The sequence below is a fragment of the Homo sapiens genome, chromosome 10 (genome assembly GCF_000001405.40).
Source record: "Homo sapiens chromosome 10, GRCh38.p14 Primary Assembly".
In the NCBI taxonomy this organism is placed as follows: domain Eukaryota; kingdom Metazoa; phylum Chordata; class Mammalia; order Primates; family Hominidae; genus Homo; species Homo sapiens.
Genome location: NC_000010.11, coordinates 23,068,542 through 23,093,656, shown reverse-complemented (window position 1 = coordinate 23,093,656; position 25,115 = coordinate 23,068,542). Strand labels below are relative to the sequence as shown.

Sequence of the window (25,115 nt, the reverse complement as noted above, 5' to 3'; positions counted from 1 at the left end):
TTGCAACCAGCTAGCATTGGTACTGTACCTCTGTTCTTTTTTAAGGTTGTTTGGGCTATTTTAGGTCTTTTGTATTTCAACATAAATTTTAGATTCAGTCTGTCAATTTCTACACATGATCTTACTTAAGTTTTGATTGGGATTGCATTGATTCTATCCATAAGTTTGGGGGAAATTAATATCATAACAATATTGAATCTTTTGACCCATGAATAAAGATATGCCTATCTATTTATTTAGGTCTTCCTTAACACCTACTAGTAGTGTTTTGTAGTTTTCACTGTATAGGTTTTGCACATCTTTTGATAGATTCATCCTAAAGCATTTCATATTTTTGATGCTGTGGTATTGTTTTATCAATTTCAATTTCTGATTGCTAGTATGTAGATTTTGTATATTGATCTTGTATTCTGTAATCTTTCTAAACTCATTTCTTAGTTCTAGTAACATTTTATGGATTTTATCAGATTTTCTACATAGAAAAATCATGTCATCTGTGTAGAAAGAGTTTTACTCTTTCTTTTTAATACAGATGTCTTTGATTTCTTTTTCTTGCCTTATTGCACTGGTTAGAGCCTGCGCAGTGTTGAATAGAAATGTTGAGAGTGAACATCCTTGTCTTGTTCCTGATCTTAGAGGAAAAGTATTCAGCCTTTTACCATTAAGTATGATATTAGCTATAAGTTTTTCATAAATTTTCTATCAGATTAAGGAAATTTCTATTTGTAGTCTACTGAGAGTTTTTATCAGGAAGGGATGTTGGATTTTTGTCAAATGCTTTTCTGCAGCTACTGATATAATCATACCTTTTTCCTATTTTCTTTTTGTAGTTTGTTACTTGATTTTCAAACGTTAAACCAACTTAGTATTTCTTCAATAAAGCCTGCTTTGTCAGTTTTATTATTTGTTTCATGTATTGTTGGATTATGTTCTATGTATCATGGATTACATTTTTTTAGAATTTTTGTGTCTGTGTTGATGAAGGATGTTGGACTGAAAGCTTCCTCTCTTATAGTATCTGTCTGGTTTTGTATCTGAGTAATAAGTAAACAAATTCAAATCCAGAGAGGATAAGTACCTTGTCTATGATCACACTGCTAGTTAGTTGAAGAGTTTGTAAAGTTCCCCTAAAGTTTAGAATTTAGAAAATATCAAGGAATACCGGTTTAACTCACCCACCTTCACCCCCAATCCCAAGCAAAGTTAATAAATTAACTTAACATTGTGACATTGTGGGAAAAAAATCATGGAGTCTGGTGTAAAACACATTCAAGTCAGAATATCTTAAATTTAAAAGACGCATGAGCTTGATCAAGTATTCAACCTGTGACAGATCAGTTTTCTTATCCCCAAAATGGGGTTATTGTAAGGATTAGATACAACATACGTTAAAACACCTAGCAAACCCTTTGGTACATACTTGGTTTTAATAAACGTTAGTTGTTATTGAAGATTTAATGAGGACAACGGTAATTGGTAAACAGAGCTGATAACCAATCTATCCTTGCATTTCTACATATCCTCACACTCCCAGAAAGACATTCTAAGCACAGAGGAAGTCCCTCCCTCCCTACCACCATTCTCCTTTACACCTGCTAGGAGGACCTTTACCTCATCTGTGATCAAGCCCTTACTGGTCTTAAAATGTCCCCTCTTCTCACCACCATTTATCTGAATCCAACTTAACCATCAAGGCCATGCATTAACCTCACATTCTTGGACACATGGTCTTAGCCTGAACAAAACTCTACTTTATGTTTTCCCTTTTACTTTGTACACTGAGTGGTAGAGACTATCATTTGCCTGGCCGATATCCACTCTCTCTACTTACAAACAGATCTTTGATTTTATTAAGAGTAGCAATATGCCTAGCTAAAATGTTACATCTGTCAGCTCCCTTGTAGTTGGTGGCAATCATATGATGCTGTTATGGGCAATGATAGGAGCAGACATCACTGGGAGCTACCAGGAAAACTAGTTAAAGAGGAGCTGGCTCAGCACTGGACTTTTGCTCTGTCTTTTGTTTCTGCTTGGAAATTAGTCATGATGGCTGGAGCACTGGCAATCTTCTGGTATACATGAAGATGAGACCCACATCTTGATTTTAAAGAAGTAGAAGACATGAAGGAGCCCAGGATTCTGAAGACAGTGTGGAGTCAATATGCTAGTCTTGGATTGCCTGCCTTCAGATTTCCAATTACATGAGAGACCAATAAATCTATATTTTGTTTAAATCACTGTTACTGGGATTTTCTGTTTCATGAAGTTGACACAGTGTATATCTGATGTCCTGAATTTGATTGTGAGAATCTTCAGGAAAGGCAAAATTCTATAACTTTGACTCTTTGTATATCCAACACACTTCTCTGCAAACTATAAATTTGATAATAAAATCCCTAAAAGATAGGATAGAATGACCAAAAAATGGGAGATAAGTGCAAAAGCCAATTTGCTTTTCCCTACCAAAAACCATTTGGGAAAGAATGAGGGACTGGAATAAGCTTTACACAATTAATCTGCACTGAAAATACTTTATCTGCTTCCATCTGCCCAAAGTTCAATGTCGATACTCATTTTTGTTTTACCTCAATCTAGAGAATTCCTAGAAACTAACCAACTGGAACATCTAATATATATAAAATATAGTTTTAAAGCTCTAAAGGCAGTGAATGAAGACTTAAATAAATGGTTCGATAGAAAAAAATAGCATGGGATAAGCTCTGGGTTCAATTTCTAGGTGTTCTCCTAAGCAGATACAGATGTTTTGGACAAACCAGTCTCTGGGCCTTGGTTTGATTATCTGGAAAATGACACGAATACAGGGGAGGGTGGCCTAGAACTAGAACTCAAATTATATCTCAACTCTCTTCAGTCTGTAATTATATGACGGGTGGTGAAAAATGGAAAGATACACTTGCTGACCAAAGAGCTGAAATTACGAAGGTTAAAATACATTCAACTTATAGATTTAAGCTATGTCACTTATAATCCCAATGGATTACTTTACAGGAATTGAAAAAATAACAACTGAAATAAATGTGGATAAAAATAGACTTTTATGTTAAAGATAATATTGGAGAAGTAGCCTCTCACATGTTAAAAGTGCTTATCAAGGAAGAGTAGATATGAAAACAGTGTTCTGATTGAAATAATAACCAAAAAATAGTCCAGAGAGATAAGAGGTTCCAGAAATTAATACATATTTAACCTATTAGAAACAAGGGGATATAAAATTATTCAGTATATTTTTTGTGGGAAAGTGACTATCAATACAGGGGAAGTAACCTTGGCGTCTAAGGCTTAGATGAATAATTCACTTCAAAAGAATTATTTTTTGAGTTAAAAGTAGTATGTGGATATGTGTATCATGTCAGAGCTCAGAGTACAATACCCCCCAAGTATGGTGCTCTGGTATGCTGAGCATTTTTGAATTAAATGAAATTGGAAAGCTTTAGAAGCTGCCTCAGAAACAACGACTTTCTAACTTTTTATTTCTTCCCCACAAGTGAAGAGAAGGGCTTTCTCCCACTGAGTCTTCCAAAAGAAGTGCAGTTGTCTTAAGATCTCTTTACTAGGAATCTTATCAGATAACCAGGAAAGATTAACTACTGGAGAAGAGGAAAGACTAAAAGTCATCACTATGCCCTGAAACACTTTTTATCTGTTCTTCTGATGGCACCTCTGAGAGATTACTTTATTATTTAAGATTTATTTAAGATTATTTAAATATTTACTATTTAAATAAAAATTAAATGCATAATAGGACAACCTTTGTTCACAGTACAGTTCTGCCCCTCACCTTCCCATAACTGTGGGTCCCATTCTTCTTCCGAAAAGAATAATTCAAAAACTACTGTCTGCTCTTTGGGCCTATTCAATTTTCCTGAAAATTATTTACAATCCCTCAAAATTGCCTAAGTTTCCGCCATCGCCCTCTTCCCTATGAAGAAGATATATAAGTTTCAACAATTTGGCCTTTCTTTGAGTCTCATATTTGTGGGGGTCTTGTGACCATGTGCACTTTAATACATTTGTATGCTTTTTCTTCTGCTACTCTATTGTCAGTTTATTTCAGCAGTCTCACTTCAGAGGGAAAGTTTAAACTTCCCTACCACACATACACAAACACACACACACACACACACACGAAATAAAACAATACTGCATACATCCATTTTGAAATAAAAATAATTTTTGGACAATAAAAGCAATAAAAGGAGTTAGCACTGAACAAATGATAAGGTTGACAGGTTCAAGTGAATGAAATTTAAGTACATACATACATACCACAAGATGAAGAACAAAAAATGATTACTCTCAAATTAGAAAAATTAAAATGATAAAAATACGAGAGTATTGTAATACACATAACAGTAAACATTTAACATTATATATATTAGGGAAATTAATATTATCTATATGGCCAATTTCAGGTCTGACTGGACAGATGGTTAAAGAATATGAACAGATGGTTTGCACAAGGAAAAATACAAATAGTGAACAAACACTTGGGAAAATGTTTGGCTTCCATAATAATTAAAGAATTAAAAATTAAAATGGCCTAATATATTGCCTCATGCATATTAAATTATTAATAATAGTGTTTTTTTGGAATTAAAGCTACCAGAGCTTTAAGAACTCATACACTGTCTGTAGAAATAGGGTCATACTTTTTCTGGAAAGAAATCTGACAACATGTACTAAAGATGACAATTTGGCAAATTGGCTTTGTGGAGCAAATCCCAAGGGAAAAAATCAATAGTAAAGAAAGCTCCAGTTTTGCAGAGAAGTTTACAGTTATGCTTTTCATAATGGCAGATGAATCCAGAGTCATTAACAGCCAGGAAATGACTAAGTAAATCTTGACATAGCAATACAATGAAACATTATATAGCCATTAAAATGTCAAATATGAAGACTACCTGGATTTATGGAATGGTCTGCATGAAATAATGTCAAGGAGAAAAAAGTAGAATACAAAATAGTTCATACTTGACAGTAAAAGTGGGTAAAAGCATGCACATGGAACCAATCTCTACTGAGGCATACCATTTTGGAAGAGGTTAGGATTGTTTGGTGAAAAGATACTTCTTTTGTACTTTTCTCTTCAAGTGACTTTTTACATTTAACAAAATTTCATTTTAGATAAATTAGAAAACAGAAGCATGTAAAGAAATTATTGAACACTGTCTCAAATCATTACTGATAATATTTGGTGTATATATTTATTCAATCTTTTTTAAGTATACTGTAATTGATGGCTGATAGTTTAATTACTTTCCCTTCCTTCTGAACTATACTCTGATTCTTCTTTGAGAAACAACTCCCCTTCCCATTCTCAGTCATGAAATTTAGATAAGATGGCTCCAGAGCAGAATTTCACAACCTCAGCACTATGGACATTTTGGGCCAAATAATTCTTTGGTGAGCGTATGGGTGGGTCGGGGGGCATAGGTTTCAATTGTCCAGTGCATTGTAGGATATTTAGCAGCATTCCTGGTCTCCACCTCCTAAATGCCAGTAGCATCCTCTTCCCGTGTGACAACTAAAAATGTCTCCAAACATTGCCAGATGTTCCCTTAGGGGAAAAATCACCCACCATTTGTTGAGAAGCACTGATCTAGACTTAGACCCTGATTGACTTAAGCCACTTAACTGATTCCATCCTATTACCCTCAAGGATATGATCAGAGATGGACACACAAGCCAAACAGAACCGCCAAGGAGCAAGAAATCAATTGTCTGCCGAGCCCATGGGGAAAGAATGACAAAGTTCATTCTTTCCCTGGTCAGGACAGTGCGAGAATGAGAGCTGAGATCTGGAAGCATGAGGAAGAGTCTGTCGTTTTGGTGACTGGGCTAGGGAACATAGTGTAATACTAATGACAAAAACAATCACTTGGAAAACAGAATAGAGCGGTGTGGAGAATCTGAGTCATTGGTGATGTTGTTTGAGCTGCTAGAACTCACCTGAAGGTTACATCTTGATTTTTCATCATCTTAATAAATTTCCCACTGTCTTTTTAAAAGTCAGTTTGAAATGGGTCTTTTATCTTTAGAACCTATAGGTCTAATTGAATTATATTTATATTTTTTCACTTAATTTTTCAGGAGTATCTTTTTTTTATTTTTTATTTTTTATTTTTTTTTTGAGACAAGGTCTCATTCTGTTGCCTAGGCTGGAGTGCAGTGGAGAGATCAGGGTTCACTGCAGTCTTGACCTTCTGGGTTCAAGTGATCCTCCCACCTCAGCCTCTCAAGTAGCTGGGACTACAGGTACGCACCACCTTGCCAGCTAATTTTTGTATTTTTTGTAGAGATGGGATTTCACTATGTTGGCCAGGCTGGTCTTGAACTCCTGGGCTCAAATGATCCTCCTACCTCAGCCTCCCAAAGTGTTGGGATTACAGGCATGAGCCATGGCGCCTGGCCAGGAGTATCTTTTAAAAATTATTACATAATTATGAGATACTTAAAATATCCAGAAAACAAAGACTACAATGTAACATATCTATAACAAGCAGAGTGTACTAACATGCAGAGGTTAAAAGTTTTAAATATTTGCCTCAGACTCCTGTCTTCCAACATTGCCCAATCTCTCTCTCTCTCTGTTGACTAAACATGGAAATACATGTAAATTCTCATTCCCCATTCTCCTCCTTTCCTTATCTTTCTCCCCATTTCCATGTGTGTTTTTGTACTTTTTTAACAGATGACTGTATGTTAAAAGAGTTTAAGCCATCATTCAGTGTATTTTAAAACCTCACGAGAGGTATCATACTGTCTGTATACATTTGCAACTTGAATTTATCATTCAGTATTATGCTTTTAAAAGATTTATTGAGAGAGAGAGTTTGAGTTCTTTCATTTTAGCTGTTGAAGAGAATCCATTGTATCAATAAACTGGAGGATATCCATTATCCTCCTTATAGACATGATGTGGTTTGAGTCTATGTCCCCCGCCAAAATCTCATGTCCAGTTGTAATCCCCAGTGTGGGACTGGATCTTGGGGGTGGATTTTCCTTTTAGTGCTGTTCTCATGAGAGTGAGTGAGTTATCGTGAGATCTGGTTGTTTGAAAGTGTGTAGCCCCTCCCACCTCTCTCTCTTCCTTCTGCTCTGGCCAGGTAAGACATGCCTGCTTCCCCCTCACCTTCTGCCACGACTGTAAGTTTCCTGAGGCCTCCCTAGCCATGATTCCTGTACAGCCTGTGGAACTGTGAGCCAATTAAACTTCTTTTCTTTATAGAATGCCCAGTCTCAGGTATTTCTTTACTGCAGTGAGAAAATGGACTAGTTCAGAAAATTGAAATGCTTTCATTCTTTAGCTATTACAAACCATGCTACAATGAACAGCTTCATACAAGTCTCCTTGTGCATGCAAGATTTCATTAGAGTAGACATCTAGAAATGGAACTCATGGATCAAAGAATACACTCATCTTCAGTTTTCCTAGGACTCCCCATCATTCGTCAAAGTAGTTGTACCTGCAGTGTCTGTGGGTTCCTGTTTTCCCTACATCTTCCCCAATATTTGATGTTATGAGATTTACTAGTTTTTGCCTATGTGGTGGGTACAAAATGGGGTCTCATTGATTTTTAATTTTCAGTTCCCTGATTGTTAATGGGATTTAGAATTTTTTCAGATATTTACTGGCCACTGCGGCTTTCCTTCTGAATTGTGGACATGTTGTCTCTTTCTTTCCGAGTATTTCTTTTTTATTACAGCCTTATTGGAATCCTTTATTATTATGCACATCAACTGTTTATTGAATATATGGATTCCAATTATTTTCTTCCATTATGTGGATTGGAGTTTTACTTTGCTCATGATATTTTTTTCTATAGATATTTTGTTTTTTAAGTAGTTAAATTTGTCTAGCTTTATGCTTATAGTTTATTTATGCACTTTTATCATGTTTATTCCCATATGTGTGCATATAATTTTCTACAAACAGTACATATTCTTGTCATTACTGTAGGTATCCGTTTCCACCTTGTTTTCTCAGTCAATTTTTTTTAAATTTTCAGCTATGGATTTTTAAAATCTATTTTATTTATTCTAATGAATCTTATGTAATAATGATATGCTCCTAGGTTGTCTTCTAAAGCTTCACATTTCAGTTTTTAGTCCACTTGAAAATGCATTTGGGGTATAGTGTGATGTAGGGATCTAATTTAGTCTTTTTCCACATAGAGAGCTAGTTGTCAGAGTCATTTATTAAATGTCCATTTAATAAGCCATTTATTAAAAAGTATATTCTGTTCCATTGACCAGTTTTCTAGCTCTGTACCAATACCAGTTTCAATACTGTAATTTTAAAATTAATTAATAATCAATAATTGCATCTATTTGTGGTATTCAAAATGATGTAGTATAGAAAGATTAAATCAAGCTAATTAATGTATCTATCACCTCACCCCTTATCACTTTTTTTGTGGTAAGAATGTTTAAAAACCTATTCTTTAAGTAATTTTGAAATATACAATACATTGTTATTAATTATGGCTGCCATGCTGTGGCTTAAGATACCCAAAACTTATTCCTCTTGTCCAATTAAACTTTGTACCATTTGACCAACATCTGCTCTTTCCCTGCCTTCTCCCACTGCTCCCCACTCCTCCCTGGCTCTGATAACCACCATTCTACTTTCTGTTTCTATGAAATCAATGTTTTTAGATTCCACGTATAAATGAGATCATATAGTCTTTCTGTGCCTGGCTTATTTCACTTAGCACACTGTCCTCCAGGTTCATCCATGTTGCAAATGACAGAATTTCCTTCTTTTTAAAGGCTGTATAGTATTCTGTTGTGTAGATATACCACATTTCCTTTACCCATTTATCTGTGGATGGACACTTAGCTTGCTTTAATATCTTGGCTATTGTGACTAATGCTGAAATGAACATGGGAATGCACATGTCTCTTCAACATGCTGATTTCAATTCCTTTGGATATATACTCAGAAGTGAGATAGCTGGATCAATACTATCATTTCATATTAAGCCTTAGTATTTGGCAAATATAAATTTTCCTTCTTCAAAAATGTATTGGCTATTTTTGGCTCTCCATTCATACAAGTGAAATATAGAATCACCTTCCATGTGAAGTCTAGTAGCATAAAAAAATTCTATTGAAATGTTGATTGGAATTGCTTTGAATTTATAGAGTAAGAGGCAGACAGTTGCTGCTTTTTAAAATAACATTTGAAATTAAAATAATAAGTTAAAATAATGAAGTACTAAAAGAAAACTTAGGTTTTCTTTTATATTTTTCTATAGTTTTATGCTATTGTCCATAAAGGGCTTGTACATCTTTTCTTATATTTATTCATAGAAACCTTGTAACCTTTGTTGCTATTGTGTGTGTGTTAAACATTCTAATTTCTTCTTGTTGTGTATTTGAGGGTAATTTTAGTATATTTATACAGTCATGTATTGCTTAACGAAGAGAGAGGCATCCTGAGAAATGCATCATTAGGTGATTTTGTCATTGTGTAAACATCATAGAGTGTACTTACACAAACGTAGATGGTACAACCAACTACATAACTAGGCTATATGGTATAGCCTGCTGCTCCTAGGCTACAAACCTGTACAGCATGTGACTATACTAAATACTGTAGACAATTGTTAACACAATGGCAAGTATCTGTGTATCTAAGCATATATAAACATAGAAAAGGTACAGTAAAAATACAGTATGATAATCTTAATGAACTACCATGGTATATGTGGCCTATTGTTGAAAGAAATGTCATTATATGGTATATGACTGTATTTTACCGAGTAATCTTGCCAAACTCCCTTCTTGCATTCAACAATGTGTCTTGAAGAATTTCTTAGATTTTCTATGAAAACAATCTCATTATCACATCATCTTTCTTCCTTTCCTGTCCAATACCTTTAATTTCTTATTGTGCTGGCTGAGACCCCCATTCAATGTTGAATAGAAGTAGTGATAGCAGGTGCCCTTGTTTTGTTCCTGACTCTAAAGGAAATGCTTCTAACATTTCCCCGATACAGAGCATAGATTGTTGGAGATTTTTGGTAGTTAATCTTTATTAGGATATAGAAGTTCCTTTCTATTCCTAGTTTACTAAGAGTTTTTGTCATGAATGAGCGTTGGATTTTATTTGTTGACTTTCCTGCTGCAGTGAGATAATCATATAATTTTTCTCTTTTACTGTGTTAATGTAGTGTATTATATTAATAGAGTTTCTACTAATGCTAAGTCATCATTGAAATTTTCAGGTCATTTTCATGACCATACTTGGTCATGACGTGATTTGTTATTTTAAAACATGCATTTAATTTGGTTTCCCAATGTCTTTTTTAGGATTTTTGCATTTATGTTCAAAATTGAGTTTAGTTTATAATTTTCTTTTCTCTTAGTTCCATTGCCTGCTTTTTAAAAATTAAGCTTATTCTAGTCTTACCAAATGCATCTCGAAAGCTTATGTATATTGCTCAAAATTCAATCAGTGTGTGTGTGTGTGTGTGTGTGTGTGTAATTTTAATGGCTTCACTATTGTTTGGATGTATCATAATTTATTTGCAAGTTAAAGAAGATACTTTGTATATAGTTTGTTGGTGATTTTAATATTTAAATATGAATTTAAATATGATGAACAGTTAGTAAAACCAATATAAAAATAGTATTTTATTATTCTGATCTATCTGGTTCTGTTCCCATATCACAGAGGTTTTCTGGCCAAATTGGTGGGCTAGCACTTACCTTTTAGCAGAGGTGAGTTTCCCCTCCAGAGGCCTGGCATCTTTCCTACTCTGCAGACTGGCATTATTTCAGGATGAATCTGGGTTTGGTCCAGGGAACTCCGCCTCTGGTCATTGATCTCCTGGGCTCTTCATGTCTGAGGCATCTTGTCTTTATCCCCACACTCTGCCAATTACTTTTCTTCCATTCATATGTGAAGACTTTTGCTGCCTCTAGTGCTCCTTTGGGTCCTTTACTTTCTGAGGCTAATCTAAATGTGTTCCTTTTTTCCTCAAGGGAACCACCCCTATCTATCTGGCATTCTAGAATAAAAATCTAGAAAGCTGAATTCTAACTCAGTAATTTCTCTGCTAGTCCTCCAGTCCATGCACTTCCATTTTCATGAGCCTTTGTTTACATATGAAGTATGGTTCCAGGACGGTTCTACTGGCTCTTTTTTTTTGGCAGGGGTTGTCGGGGGGCGAGGTGGGCGGCGGCAGGGTCTCACTCTGTTGCTCAGTTGAAGTGCAGTGATGCAATCATGGCTAACTATAGTGGCCAACTCCAAGATTCCAGCAATCCTCCTGCCTCAACCTCCTGAGTAGCTGGGATTAAAGACACGCACCCCCATGCCTGGCTAATTTTTGTATGTGTTTGTAGAGAGAAGGTCTCACTATGTTCCCCACGCTGGTCTTGAACTCCTAGGCTCAAGTGATCCTCCCACCTCAGCCTCCCAAAATGCTGGGATTACAAGTGTGAGCCACCGCACCCGGCTTCCACCGGCTCTTGTTGTATCTTTACAAATAGTCTGGTCCTTGAAACCCAAATATCACCCTCTTGTGGCAGAGAAGTATTTCAGCATGGAGGAAGGTCTAGATTATCCTCTAGTTGCATCTTAATTTCACTGGGTCCACTGAACAAGGCTTTCAGAGCAAACATCATTGTGCCTTTGAGCACCTTCAGCAACTTCTTTGAAATCATGGGGGCAAATCTCTGAACATATTTACAGGGGATGGTGAATCTTCTGTCTCCAGATGGCTCACCACAACAAGTTAATCCCACTTCATGTTACTGGTAATTGAATTCTCCCCTGAGAAGGAAATTGTATGAGATCCATGAACATTTGATGTATGGATATTTCTAAACAGCCTGACTTGGAAAAGATTAAAACAGCCTTGTATTCCCAATCCCTCAGACCTCCTCACCGGCAGGACCCAGATTTTAATCTGCTCCAGGTGGCTAAACTCAGGAAGGCTTATATCTCTCAGCATCTTCAATTAATGCCAAGTGTAATCATAGTTGGCAGAGTTCAGGGTGTTCTGGCACGTTCAAGGGACGGGCAGAGAACCTCCCTGCCAAGTCCTCAGAGTCCTATCTTTTGGACAGCACTTTTCATAATCAAAAGCTACCGTGATTAATGAGCTACAGGCAATGGGTAATCCCCCGTACTTAAAAATCAGAACCATGGAAAAAGAAGTAAGAGCAAATTATTCCACATAGCCTTGGGTTTCTTGACCTCAGAAGCTTTGTGCAAAATCTTTCTTTTAGGACCTTTGCCATGCAGACAGCTGAAACCTGACTGAGTAAGAGAGAGGCTGCCTGGGGCTCTGCGTCAGTGAGTGTTATTTGTTTAAATGTTGCCCATGAGCCCAGAGGCGTTTGAAATTGGCCACATTTAAAAGTAAAACAAAGCATCAAGACATTGGGTTTGGAAAATAATTACATAACTGGGCTTGCTTTTTTGCTCGTTTGACTGGCATCTGGTCCAAGGCAACATGAAGCAAGATGCTTCCAGAGCTTGTTATAAGGACAACTCTACAGTGGAAACTGACCCCCGACACTGCTTTCAGCAAGTCCTAAAAGTCCAATTTATACTGCAGGATTGAAAAGGAAGTTTTACCTTAGGAAAAAAATTAGGACTTGAGCAAACGTTTTTCTTTAATTTGATGGCTATGGAGTAGTTTTGTTTTGTTTTTCAAAGAGAAGCTTTGTAAATTTCCCTAGAAACAAGGAAATCAGAGTTGCAGAGCAGATGGAGAAACTAGTCCTTGTATTTAATGCCTTTTCAGAAATACTACCAAGATAATGGAGTAAAAATCACCTCTAGAAACTTAATAGACTTACAAAATTTTTGATGTAGGTAATAAGTTGGCTTTTATGATTACCAAGAGGTCAATAGAAAACAAGAAAATAGTGTTCATCATTCAACTGGATCCTTGGCTTTTTTTTTTCAATTTTATAAATTACTAAAGTTTGTATTTAAATTAAATTTCATTAGTCATTGTAAAATGGCACATTGACTTCATTATGGATTATTTTAAAAGCTGTAGAAATGCAGTCAATTTTATTTTATCACACACACACTACATAAAAGTCTTTGTAATTACTTTGTTTTATGAGACTCCCCATCAGTTGGGTACATTGTAAATATCCCATTCCACAGTTTATGGGTGGGGAAAATGAACCACGTGGAGGTTAAGCTGCTCGTGTTCACATTACAGCAGCAGTGATGGAATTAAATCTGAGCCATTCTCAGTAACGGAAGAATCTGCCCCCATATATGAAATCCGGAGCCCTCCAAGAGTTTTGCAAGAAAGAGCTCTAGAAAGAACATCTCCAAAACTGGAGAAAGCGTCCACACGTGGGTCTCAATTCCGTCCTTTCCTTTTGGGAACAGTCAGTGTCCAGTGTCCTGCTCTGTTGTAAATAACAACAGCAACAACAAATTTACTGCGTTCCGTTTAGCCCAGCCCAGGCAGACTAACAATTCCTAAACAACATGAGCACATGCAAAAGGAAAACCAGAAAGAAATAAACAGTGAATTAAGCCTCCTCCATTTACCTGTCCCCTCCCATAATCTGATTTTGTGGTACCCTAGATTCACCCTTCCTCCCAGCAAGTCCTCTGGAATTCCACTTCGGCCATAAACAAACTCCTGCTTTGAGGCTCAGGTTACTTAGGTCTACAAACACCCATGATCTGTTTCTCAGTCCTGCCATCTGTCAACCTTTGGGTCACTCTCCCGCATTCACTGGGGACATGTGCGCCTGGTTTAGTGTCTTTCTCTCCAGTCCAGCAGCTGGGCAACCTCAGGGTTCATGCCGAGGACTGTGCAACACTCCCACTGCAGGTCTGTGTGCTCAAGTCTCATCTCCCCCACTGCCTCCTTCAGGAAGCTAGGGCATCAGATACTCAGAATGTCTGGACCAGGCAGCTTAAATAAAAGTCTATCCCCAAGACTATCCCAAGCAACTCCCAGTCATAGAATCAGAAATACTTCAATCATTGTGGAAATAGCTCTTAGTCTCAAAATGTATTTTATCTGCAGCAAAGCAGAATTCTTGTTGAAACTGCTGGGTAAGAAGGTTCTAAAAAATTTCTCTTGATTACAAGATAGTAAATGGAAATTATTAATAACCCATTCATACAAGTTTAATGTGTATAAATTATCATAGATATTACTATTGAGCCTGTGGACTGCCATGGCTATGTGATTTAGTGACTATAATAATATTTATAAGGGCTTTTCCCATAGAAGCTAAGTCCCGCCAGGAATCATTACACTTGACTCAGGGGCTTATTTGCTATTTGTTTTCCATTTGTCCCAAATGTTTTTTGTTTTCTCTAAAATCTCATTCCCTGATTTTTTGCATTAATTGAGTTTTTGGCATTTTGGTTCTCTGTTTTTCCCTGTGTTGAATTTTTGAGTCATGCCTCTTTGTATTTGTTTTTAATGGTTGCTCTGGAGGTTACGATTACATCCTTATTACATGCAGTCTATTATACCAGTTCTCATATAAAATCTTAAACTATATGCAGCTGGCTTTCCATATCCACAGGTTCTGCACCTGGGCATTCAACCAACCATGGACAGAAAATATTTTAAAAAACAATAAAAGATAACACTATAACAATATAAAATACAAATAAAAATATAAGATAACAACTATTTATATAGCATTTACATTGTATTAGGTATTAGAAGTAATCCAGAGATGATTTAAAGTATATGGGAGGATGTGAGTAGGTTGCATGCAAATACTATGCCATTCTTAATAAGGGACTTGAACATCTGCAGACTTTGGTATCCGTAGGAGGTCCTGGAACCAATTCCTCAAGGATACTGAGGGGTGACTGCACATCCACTTACCACATTCTGGTCTTTGTGCTGTAAACATCTTACTTCAACATACACCATAAACCCCACAGCACATTGTTTTATTTTTGCTTTATTTATTTTTTATTTTTAAATTTTTTTTTAGAGACAGGGTTTTGCCATGTTGCTCAGGCTGGTCTCGAATTCCTGGACTCAAGCAATCCACCTGCCTAGGCCTCCCAAAGTGCTGGGATTATAGCTGTGAGCCACCAGACACAGTCCTATTTTTGCTTTAATTTACCTGTGAAAACATTTTAAAAATGAAAAAGGTTCTTCTACATTTATCTATATATTTACTATTTCCGGTGTTCTTTATTTCTTTGTACAGATTTGAGTTTCCAACTGGTATTATTTCCCTTCAGCCTAAAGAACATGCTTTAACATTTATTGTAGTGCAGGCTTGCTGACAACAAAGTCTCTCAGTTTTGTTTTTCGGAAAATGTCTTTTCACCTTCATTTTTGAAAGATGTTTCTCCCATTTATAGAATTCTAGATTGACAGTTCCCCATAGAAACCCCTCCTGCCTCTTCAGCAGTTTAAAGATGTTATTTCATTGACTTCTGGCTTGTACTGTATTAGGAGATGTCAACAATTATCTTATTCTCCTACATGTAAAGTGATTTGTCCCCCAGCCCCACCAGCTGATTTTAATGTTTGATTTCCAGCATTTTGACTATGGTGCCTAGATGTGAATATCACTATGTTCTAACTAAGGCTTGTGAAATTCTTCAATTTGTGGGTTGAAATTTTTCCATGAATTTGAAAATTGTTCAGCCATTATTTCTTTAGATTTTTTTTTCTGTCTCAATCTCTCTCTCCTCCTCTTCTGTGACTTTGTGTTTATTAGATTATGTGATGCTGTCTCACAAGGCACTGAAGCTCTGTCCATGTTTTTAAGTTATTTTTTTCTCTCTGTGCTTCAGTTTTGATATGCTGTCTGCAAGTTCACTGACCTTTTCTTGTGCAGTGCTAATCTACTGTTAAATCAATACAATTAAATATTATATTTTAAACATTTTATTTTTTAGGTCTATAATTTCTATTTGCTTCCTTGTTTTTATATTTCTCATTTCTTGGTTGAGATTCTGTATCTGTTAACTCCTTAAGTTCATCTTTTCCTTTAAATCCTTGAACAAATTTATAATAGCTGTTTTAAAGTCCTGTCCAAGAATTCCAACATGTGTCATCTTTCGGTCGGCTTCTATTAATTTATTTTCTTCCTGATTGTGGTCCACTTTCTTCCTGCTTTTTGTCACAGCTAGTAATTTTTTATTGTATGCTGGACTTTGAGAATGCTGCCAGTGCTGGATTTTGATGTTTTTTTTTTAAGTATGTTGGTTCACTTCTGGCATCCAGTTACTTTACTGATGGATTAGTGTGATTTTGCTAAGACTTGTTTTAGGCTTTGTTAGGGCAGGTCTTGGGTAGTCCGTGTTTTAGATGTGGCCTTTCTAGGCTCTCAACTGAATACCTGAGATGTTCAGCAAGTTTTCTCCACACTGACTGGTTGGAACTTTGACATCTTCCAGCTCCAGGTGACCTCTGGAACCTCTGCGCTGCTCAGCTCAGAGGTCCTCAGTAGCTGTTCTCTGCCCCACAGAGTCTTACCCTCCATGTGCGCAACTTTGTCTTCAGCCAAAGATTTAAGGATTTAAAGACGCTTTGTGAATCCAGGACTTCTGCAGCTCCTCTTCTGAGAAGCTGTCTCCTCTATAGCATTCTAACCCCCAAATTCTAGCTGCCTTAACAGCCTTGAACCAAATTGCTGTTTCCTTAGCACAGTGAGACCACTGCTATCTGTTTGGGTTCCACTTTCCTCTTGCACAGTGTGGAAGCTGCCCCCGGGTACCTTCCAAGCCTGTCATGGCAAGTGTACTGTTTCCTTTCTTCTAAAAATCACAACCCTTTGCTCTCTGTTGTCTATGACTGAAAACAGCTGCTTCATGCATTTTGTCCAGTTTTGTGCTTATTATTTTGGAAGTGTTAAGTCTGATACTTCTTAGTTCATCATGACCAGAACCAAAAGTCAGCTCAGGAGTTTTTAGAGCTACAAATCTTCATGTTTGGGGGAAGAAATATTACATTTTAATTTATTTGTTTTTATAATGTGGCACTGAAAAAATATTTCTACTGTTTTCATGCTTCTCTCTTTTCCCCTTCTCTATATCCAGCTCCTTCTTTTTCTAATTATCCTTAATAGGAGTGACTCAAGCTTTGCTTATATGCAAACTGGAATTCTGGCAACTACAAAAAAGTTTTATACAACACTAAATCTGCAAATACTAGAATTTTACTTCTGAGGAATAGAGAGGGATTTACGTTTATAAACTATATAAACAGCTAGGTTTAGAAAGCTTAGGAAAACATTTTTGAGATGGTGTCTCACTCTGTCGCCCAGGCTGGAGTGCAGTGGCACAATCTCGGCTCACTGCAACCTCTGCCTCCCAGGTTCAAGTGATTCTCGTGCCTCAGCCTCCTGAGTAGCTGGGATTACAGGTGCCCTCCACCAGGCCTGGCTAATTTTTGCATTTTTAGTAGAGACAGGGTTTCACCACATTGGCCAGGCTGGTCACCAACTCCTGACCTCAAGTTATCTGCCCGCCTCGGCCTCCCAAAGTGCTAGGATTACAGGCGTGAGCCACAGCGCCCAGCCGGAAAACATACCTTTCATAAAATTTGCTTGCCTTATTTTCCTGACTTGCTTATGCCTGTATGAGCACGGTCTCAATTCTCACTCAAGAGTGTTTCAAAAATCTGTCTTTTTTTTTTTCCCAACAAGGCCAAGGAACCCTGATTCATGCTTCCTAACTTCCCTCAATCTTCTGATTCATTTTCTAGTCTGAGAAAGTGTCTCCTTTCCAAGTATATAGCAGAAAATGTACGGTCTGTACTGTGGCTTTCGTCATGATAAAGTGAAACCCCACCCTCATGCCTATCCACATCATGGCAAAGCTAGAGAGTAGTCAACCCATGACAGGTTCATGAAATGACAATGTTTTAAAGATGCAGTCATCTTACCATTCATAATTAAGAACTGAACACACAGAGTAATAGGAGTTGATTCTTCCAAGCCTTTGCAAGCATTGTGCTGAATTTTAGACCAGAAGGGGCCTTAGAGGTCATCAGATTCAAACTCTTTATTTGCATTTTAGCCAAATGAGATCCATAGAGGCTGATACTTTACCGAGTTTCACACACCTAAAGGATTAGACACAGATCAATAACTTGTATTTTCTGACCTCTAATGCAGATTCTTTATGCTTCACTATGCAAATGCAAGATTGACCTCTTCTGGTTCCCTTGTGTTTTTTAGAGGCGGAGCTGTTTTTCCAACAACTTTTATGCACTACAGGACCCTGTAGGAGGGCCATAGTGAAATCGAGATGATCAAAACGATCATAGCTATTTTGTCTTGATTATCTCAACACATTCTATTTTTTGTTCTCCGTTTATTATCCTAAAGGCCCATGTTTTGATTAAATGTATTCATTTTTTTGTTATAATGAATGCATACACTTTATTTAAAAGTTTCCATTTTACTGCATGTCTTAACAGCTGAATAAGCAGGCCATTGCAGCCTATGTTGATTACATTTTACCTCCCTTCTCTTTCCTTGCCTAGATCTGTCTGGGTTTTTGGATGATTGACTTACAAATGAAAAAGCAGAACATCACATTCCACTTCTCTGAAAGCCAAGTTCATGTGGATCTAGTAATTATCCACACAGGGTAGCATCTATTTTCATGCTTTTGTTAATAAATAATCTTCACTTGAATAAAAATCATCTACTTCTTGATTAGTTATTATTTATAATTTTATAGAACGTTATACTTTCAAATTATGAATTAAAGAGGCATCATCTGCAAACTCACCATACTGTGACTGCTACCTCGTTTAAGGACTTAACAAGTATTTATTACGTGTTTGTGGAAGGTCATAAAATGAAGGACAAGGTATTATTTCCATCTTCATGCACCTCTAACCAACTCTGGCAGTTAATATGTAGATTCACGTGAATGAAAACACAACTGGGGATAAGCTGGGAAAATCCGGGATAGTTTCCTAAAAGGAGTGAGATTTGAAGGAGGTATGGATAGAGAGAGAATTGGGGAAGCTGGAAGATGCAAGAGTAGCAGTGCAGCTTGTAATCCCAACACTTAGGAGGCTGAGGCAGGAGGACCACTTGAGCCCAGGAGTTCAAGACCAGCCTGGGCAACAAAGTGAGACCTCGTCTCTACAAAAAAATACAAAAATTAACCAGGTGTGCTGGTGCACACCTGTAGTCCTAGCTACTCAGGAGGCTGAGGTAGGAGGATTGCTTGAGCCTGGAAGTTGGAGGCTGCAGTGAGCTATGATTGCTCCACTGCACTCCAGCCTGGGCAACAGAGTGAGACCCTGTCTCAAAAAAATATATAATAAAATAAAAACAAAAACAGAATACCAGAGCAAACAGACAGACATAGAGAAAAGAGCAAGCAGGTTATTTATGAGAACTATGTTAGGTTATAAATAAGAACCAATATCTAACATTCCTTGAATTCCAGGAACTCTACTGATCCCTGTATGTTTTTGATTTTTTTCCTTTTTGTATGTTTGTTTTGTTTTAGACAGGGTCTTGCTCTGTCACCCAGGCTGGAGTACAGTGGTGTGATCTTGGCTCACTGCTGCAGTCTCTATCTCCTGGGCTCAAGTAATCCTCCCACCTCAGCCTCCCAAGTAGCTGGGACTGCAAGCACATACCATCATGCCCAACCAATTTTTGTATTTTTTGTAGAGATGCGGTTTCACAATGTTGCCCGGGCTGGTCTCAAACTCCTGGGCTCAAGTGATCCTCCCACCTTAGCCTCCCAAAGTGCTGGAATTACAGGCATGATACACTGCACTTGGGCTCTGTTATTTAGTTTTTTACAAGACTTGTGTCATTTGCCAAACTATGTTAAGTCAAAAATTTTAACACTCCCCACAACCCAGCGCACACACAGGCCACTAATGGAAAACTTAAGTCAGGCATGCACACTCATTAAGTGCCAGCCAGGAATGCTCTGTCAATCCTAACACAGGAATGCCTGACAAGTCAAGGCAGCTGAAGACTCTCTTTGGTCCATGAGGTGCTATCTTCCTGTGTTGTAAGACAGAACGCAGAAGGAGCTCCCTTTTGCAAGGCTAAGGGATAGTGTGGCTCCCAAACAGTGAAAGAGAATATCACAGCACTCACACCATGATGAACAATAGGCGTCTGGAAGGTCACTTACACCAATGTGTTTCTTTTTCCTCTTCAGAGTAAATTTTTAGGAGCTAATCTTTCTGGGAGCTCCACTAAGAAGGAAATCAGAATCTCATCCTAATTTGAGTCAATATTCTAAGAATTTTGAGGCACAAACATTCATTTTTTCATTTATTTTGAGACATGGTCTCTCTTTGTCACCCCGGCTGGAGTGCAGTGGTGCCATCATAGCACACTGCAGCCTTCAGCTCCTGGGCTTAAGTGATCCTCCCGCCTCAGCCTCCTGAGTAGCTGGGACCACAGATGCATGCCACCATGTCTGGCTTTTTTTTTTTTTTTTTGTAGAAATGGGTATTGCTGTGTTGCCCAGGCTGGTTTTGAACTCCTGGGCTCATGCGATCCTCTGCCTCAGCCTGCCAGATTGCTGGAATTACAGCCATGAGCCACAAAATATCCTTTAGAGAAGGGAAATGATATCCTAGTTCTTTTCCTGAGGACTTTTATTCTATTCCACTTCCTGATCAGGTAAAAAGTGTTCTGGGAAACCCTGCCTTCCTTATTATTTTCTTTAAGTTCTCTCCTTTTCTCCAACATAGAATTTATGGAAATTGGAGTGCCTGCAAGAAGGGAGACTTGCCTCTGATCCCCTGGCCAGAGGCTTAACAAGCCAGACTAAAGAGTGGTGGGAGAATTTTTTAGAATACTTGACATGAATTCTCTGGAGTTTGGGGAATACAAGCACACAGGGCCTGCTGCCAACTTTTGTTCTGGAGCGTTCTGAAAGAGGAAGGTCCAGTGGAGAGTTCACTCTGCATCAGCAAGTATTTTTTTGTTTGTTTTTGTTTTTTGAGATGGAGTTTCGCTTTTGTTGCCCAGGCTGGAGTGCAATGGTACAATCTCGGCTCACTGCAACCTCCACCTCCTGGGTTCAAGTGATTCTCCTGCCTCAGCCTCCCAAGTAGCTGGAATTATAGGTGCCCGCCAACACGCCCAGTTAATTTTTGTACTTTTAGTAGAGACGGGGTTTCGCCATGTTGGCCAGGCTGGTCTTGAACTCCTGGCCTCAAGTTATCCCCTCACCTCAGCCTCCCAAAGTGCTGGGATTACAGGCCTGAGCCACTGTGCCCGACCTTCTTTTCTCAGTTTTGAATTGTTGCATTGAGATATTAATTCCTTACTTTTCATTCCTTGTCTCAGGCATCTCAGAGCTTCGACTGACTGAATATATGCAGAGTCCAAAATGAGATAAACAAGCAGTTGAGTATACTTTTATTTGGCTCCAATGCCCTCAGTGTGGTCACAGCTGTCACCGGAAGGTTATTCATTTTGCAATTTTGTGTTCTTGTTTCTAGTGCTAATCTCTCCAGGGCACCGGAAGGTTATTCATTTTGCAATTTTGTGTTCTTGTTTCTAGTGCTAATCTCTCCAGGGCATTAAGAAGGCTAGGCCGGGCGCGGTGGCTCACGCCTGTAATCCCAGCACTTTGGGAGGCCGAGGCGGGTGGATCATGAGGTCAGGAGATCGAGACCATCCTGGCTAACAAGGTGAAACCCCGTCTCTACTAAAAATACAAAAAAAAATTAGCCGGGCGCGGTGGCGGGCGCCTGTAGTCCCAGCTACTGGGGAGGCTGAGGCAGGAGAATGGCGTGAACCCGGGAAGCGGAGCTTGCAGTGAGCCGAGATTGCGCCACTGCAGTCCGCAGTCCGGCCTGGGCGACAGAGCGAGACTCCGTCTCAAAAAAAAAAAAAAGAAGGCTAAAATGGGAATTGCGTGGGTTATTAATAAAGAGACTTTGATTCAGAAATTCACAAAACTGCACATCTCTTTCAGTTGTAAGCCAAGGTGATAGTTTACTTTTCAGGACTGAGTAGCATCTGTCCTATTTCTTGCTACACAGACATTGGGAAAGAAAGAGTGAAACTAGCCAGGTGCAGTGGCTCATGCCTGTAATCCCAGCACTTTGGGAGGCTGAGACAGGAGGATCACTTGAGCTCAGGAGTTCGAGACCAGCCTGGGCAACATGGCAAAACCCCATCTCTCCAAAAAATACAAAAATTAGCCAGATGTGGTGGTATACACCTGTAGTCCCAGCTGCTTTGGAGGCTGAGGTGGGGGAATTGCTTGAGCTCATGAGATTGAGGCTGCAGTGAGCTATGATTACACCATTGCACTCCAGCCTGGGCAACAGAGCGAGACCCTGTCTCTATGTAAAAAAAAAAAGAAAAAGACTCAGGCTAGCCTAAGTGGGAGATTTTTTTCAGATTCTAGGCAAGTGGTTCTCAAAGCGTGGCCCCAGACCAGAGAAGCAGGCTCACCTGGAGCTTGTTAACAGTGCAAATTCTGAGGCCTCATCCCAGGCCTAATAGAATGGCTATTTCTGAAAATGGGGCCCAGGAATCATCAGCGTCCAGCTGATTCTGATGCCCGCTGAAGTGTGAGAACTGCTGCTCCGTCAGTCTAGTGTGAGAACAGGTGCCTTGAATTGAATCATGCTATGAGTACAGAGAGCACATTTCAGCTTCCTGTACTGCAGTCTAGCCAGGTTAGCAAATACAGGGTCATAGTTAATAGCTGGGACACTGAGGACCACTTCTCTTTTAAAGTGGCTTGTGGTTTGGGAACACCACTCCTAAGCCTTAGTTAATGGCGTCAGTAATTACTTGACTGCTTACAATTAGATAATGGTGTCAGCAAATTGGGTAGTTAGTAGCCAATCTTCTGAGGAGCCACCTGAACATGGGCACAGCCCATGGCTGAGTACCCAACCATGACAAAGGGCACATCGGAGACAGATAACCAGATACTATAGAACACATTATTTCTTGAACTGCAACAACCTTGTTACTCCAGACAGAAGAATATTAGCACTTGAGTCACCCAATCTCTGTCTCCCCTCTGTTTTTCTGTGTCCTTTAACAGCCTCTGTGACCCCTGTTTTAAGTGCATGTCCACATCTGCATTTTACAATGGTTTCTATAAAATTGTGACAAGAACGTTCCATCGGAATGTGCAATTAAAAGATAAGTGCTGCCATCAGCACTTTTTTTTTTTTTTTTTTTTTTGATGGAGTCTTGTTCTGCCACCCAGGCTGGAGTGCAGTGGTACAGTCTCGGCTCACTGCAACCTCTGCCTCCTGGGTTCAAGCCATTCTCCTGCCTCAGCCTTCCTAGTAGCTGGGATTACAGGCATGCCTCACCACGCCTGGCATTTTTTTGTATTTTTAGTAGGGGCAGGTTTTCGCCACATTGGCCAGGCTGGTTTGGAATTCCTGACCTCAAGTGATCCGCTCGCCTCAGCCTCCCAAAGTGCTAGGATTACAGGCATGAGCCACCGCACCTGGCCCATCAGCACTCTGAATAGATCTTTCTAATCACTTGAACCCAGGAGGCAGAGGTTGCAGTGAGCCGAGATTGTGCCATTGCACTCTAGCCTGGGTGACAGAGCGAGACTCCATCTCAAAAAAAAAGATCTTTCTGGGCCTTAACTCCAGCAATAGCCAGAAGAGTGTGTGTGCACCCAGCCTGACCAGGACAGTCTTCTCCCTTTCTCATGCGTTTCTGTCTTAATGAGATGGGCAATTGCTAAGGAGAACTTCGGTGCCAGAGGATGGCAGCCAAAGCCTACCTGCCCTGGGCTTCTCCCTATACATGGAGACACTGCTACCACCTAACCCACTACTACCCTGCCCCAACCATGGCCAGTTCTTCCTCTTGGACACATGTGGGAACTGTTGTTCCTTTTTGGGAAATGCCATCATTCTTCTTTGTTTCACTGTTGTCACTATGAGACCCAGGGACCTGAAAACAAATCAATTAGAACAAGATAGGAATTAGCATGTATCAAATAAGACTGAGGAGTAATTACTGCGTGGGTGAACCTGTGCAAAAACAGTCACGCTGGTCGCATATTTATGTCCTGCCATTTGCTAGAAACTTTCAAGCGTCTACTACTGTTACTTTAAAAATGTCTACATGGAAATTCTATCCCCAGCCTAACCTGAACTTAAGCCGGCAGATGAGGATAAGGCTCCCCAGCCTCCCGGAACAAGCAGACAGTTATTAATGGAAATGTTCCACCAGTTCAGGTATGTGCTAACATCTGTTAAAATTGCATTTGTACAGGATTGCATGAATTACTGATACATGAACACATTGCTTTAGCCAAACACAAGCTTTTATGATTTCATGATGAGGCTTCCCAGAGTTCTAGGTTATGACAACCTGACTTTCAAAGTTACACGTTAAAGCAATCTGTTTGCATCCCAGGCTGACTGTGCAGAAGAGATTTGCGGTTGGGACAATCTGCCATTTAAAGAGAATGAGGTCTCTAGTCATTAAGGGAGACAGAATCTGTGGCTGGGACTTTTTCTGGGGCATCCTGAGTAGGTAGCTGTGTGGCCTGTCACAGTGCGGTTTTTCAGAGGAATGTGTGTCATGCGTAGAATAGAGAAATTTATTCCTGAGCATTTTAATTTTTTTTAGAGACAAGTTCTTGCTCTGTCACCCAGACTGGGACACAGTGGTGCAATCATGGCTCACTGCAGCCTCAAACTCCTGGGCTCAAGTGATCCTTCCACCTCAGACTCCTGAGTAGCTGAGACTACAGGTATGCACCAGCATGCCTGGCTAATTTTCTTTCTTTCTTTATTTTTTTTTTTGTAGAAATGGGATCTGACTATGTTGCCCAGGCTGCTCTTGAACTCCTGGGCTCAAGCAATCCTCTGGCCTCAGCCTACCACAGCTTTTGGATTACAGGCATGAGCCACCTGGCCTCTTGAGTGTCCTTAAATAAAAATCAGCAGGTGCAAGTGCCAGGGCCTTGTCAAGCCTCCACTATTGCTGGATCGACATCTCTTCTGCCCATGGCTTTTCCCAGGATCATCTCTGCATTGCTATAGACTCCGCCATCTGTCTCACCCTGCTTTTGAGTTGGTGCATCTTACTGGGGGCTCTAGACAAATTAAGCATTGTTGTGAAGTGCACTGGCTCCGTGCTGAACTTGCTTTTTATTCCACCTA

General features: G+C 39.1%; 1 long non-coding RNA gene across 1 annotated transcript in view, besides 1 other annotated feature; it reads left to right on the top strand.

Annotated features, from left to right (window-relative positions):
- Positions 1-25,115, top strand: part of LOC107984215 (uncharacterized) — a 99,856-nt gene that overhangs the window by 1,623 nt on the left and 73,118 nt on the right. Inside the window, exon 2 of the long non-coding RNA XR_001747394.2 lies at positions 24,089-24,182. This is a non-coding gene — a long non-coding RNA (uncharacterized LOC107984215). The remainder of the gene's footprint in view (positions 1-24,088; positions 24,183-25,115) is intronic.
- Positions 22,848-22,957: an enhancer, noted in NCBI's record as "active region_3149". NCBI's record gives its function as "activates an Ori minimal core promoter by ATAC-STARR-seq in GM12878 lymphoblastoid cells {active_cell/tissue: GM12878}" and the evidence as "EXISTENCE:reporter gene assay evidence [ECO:0000049][PMID:35858748]".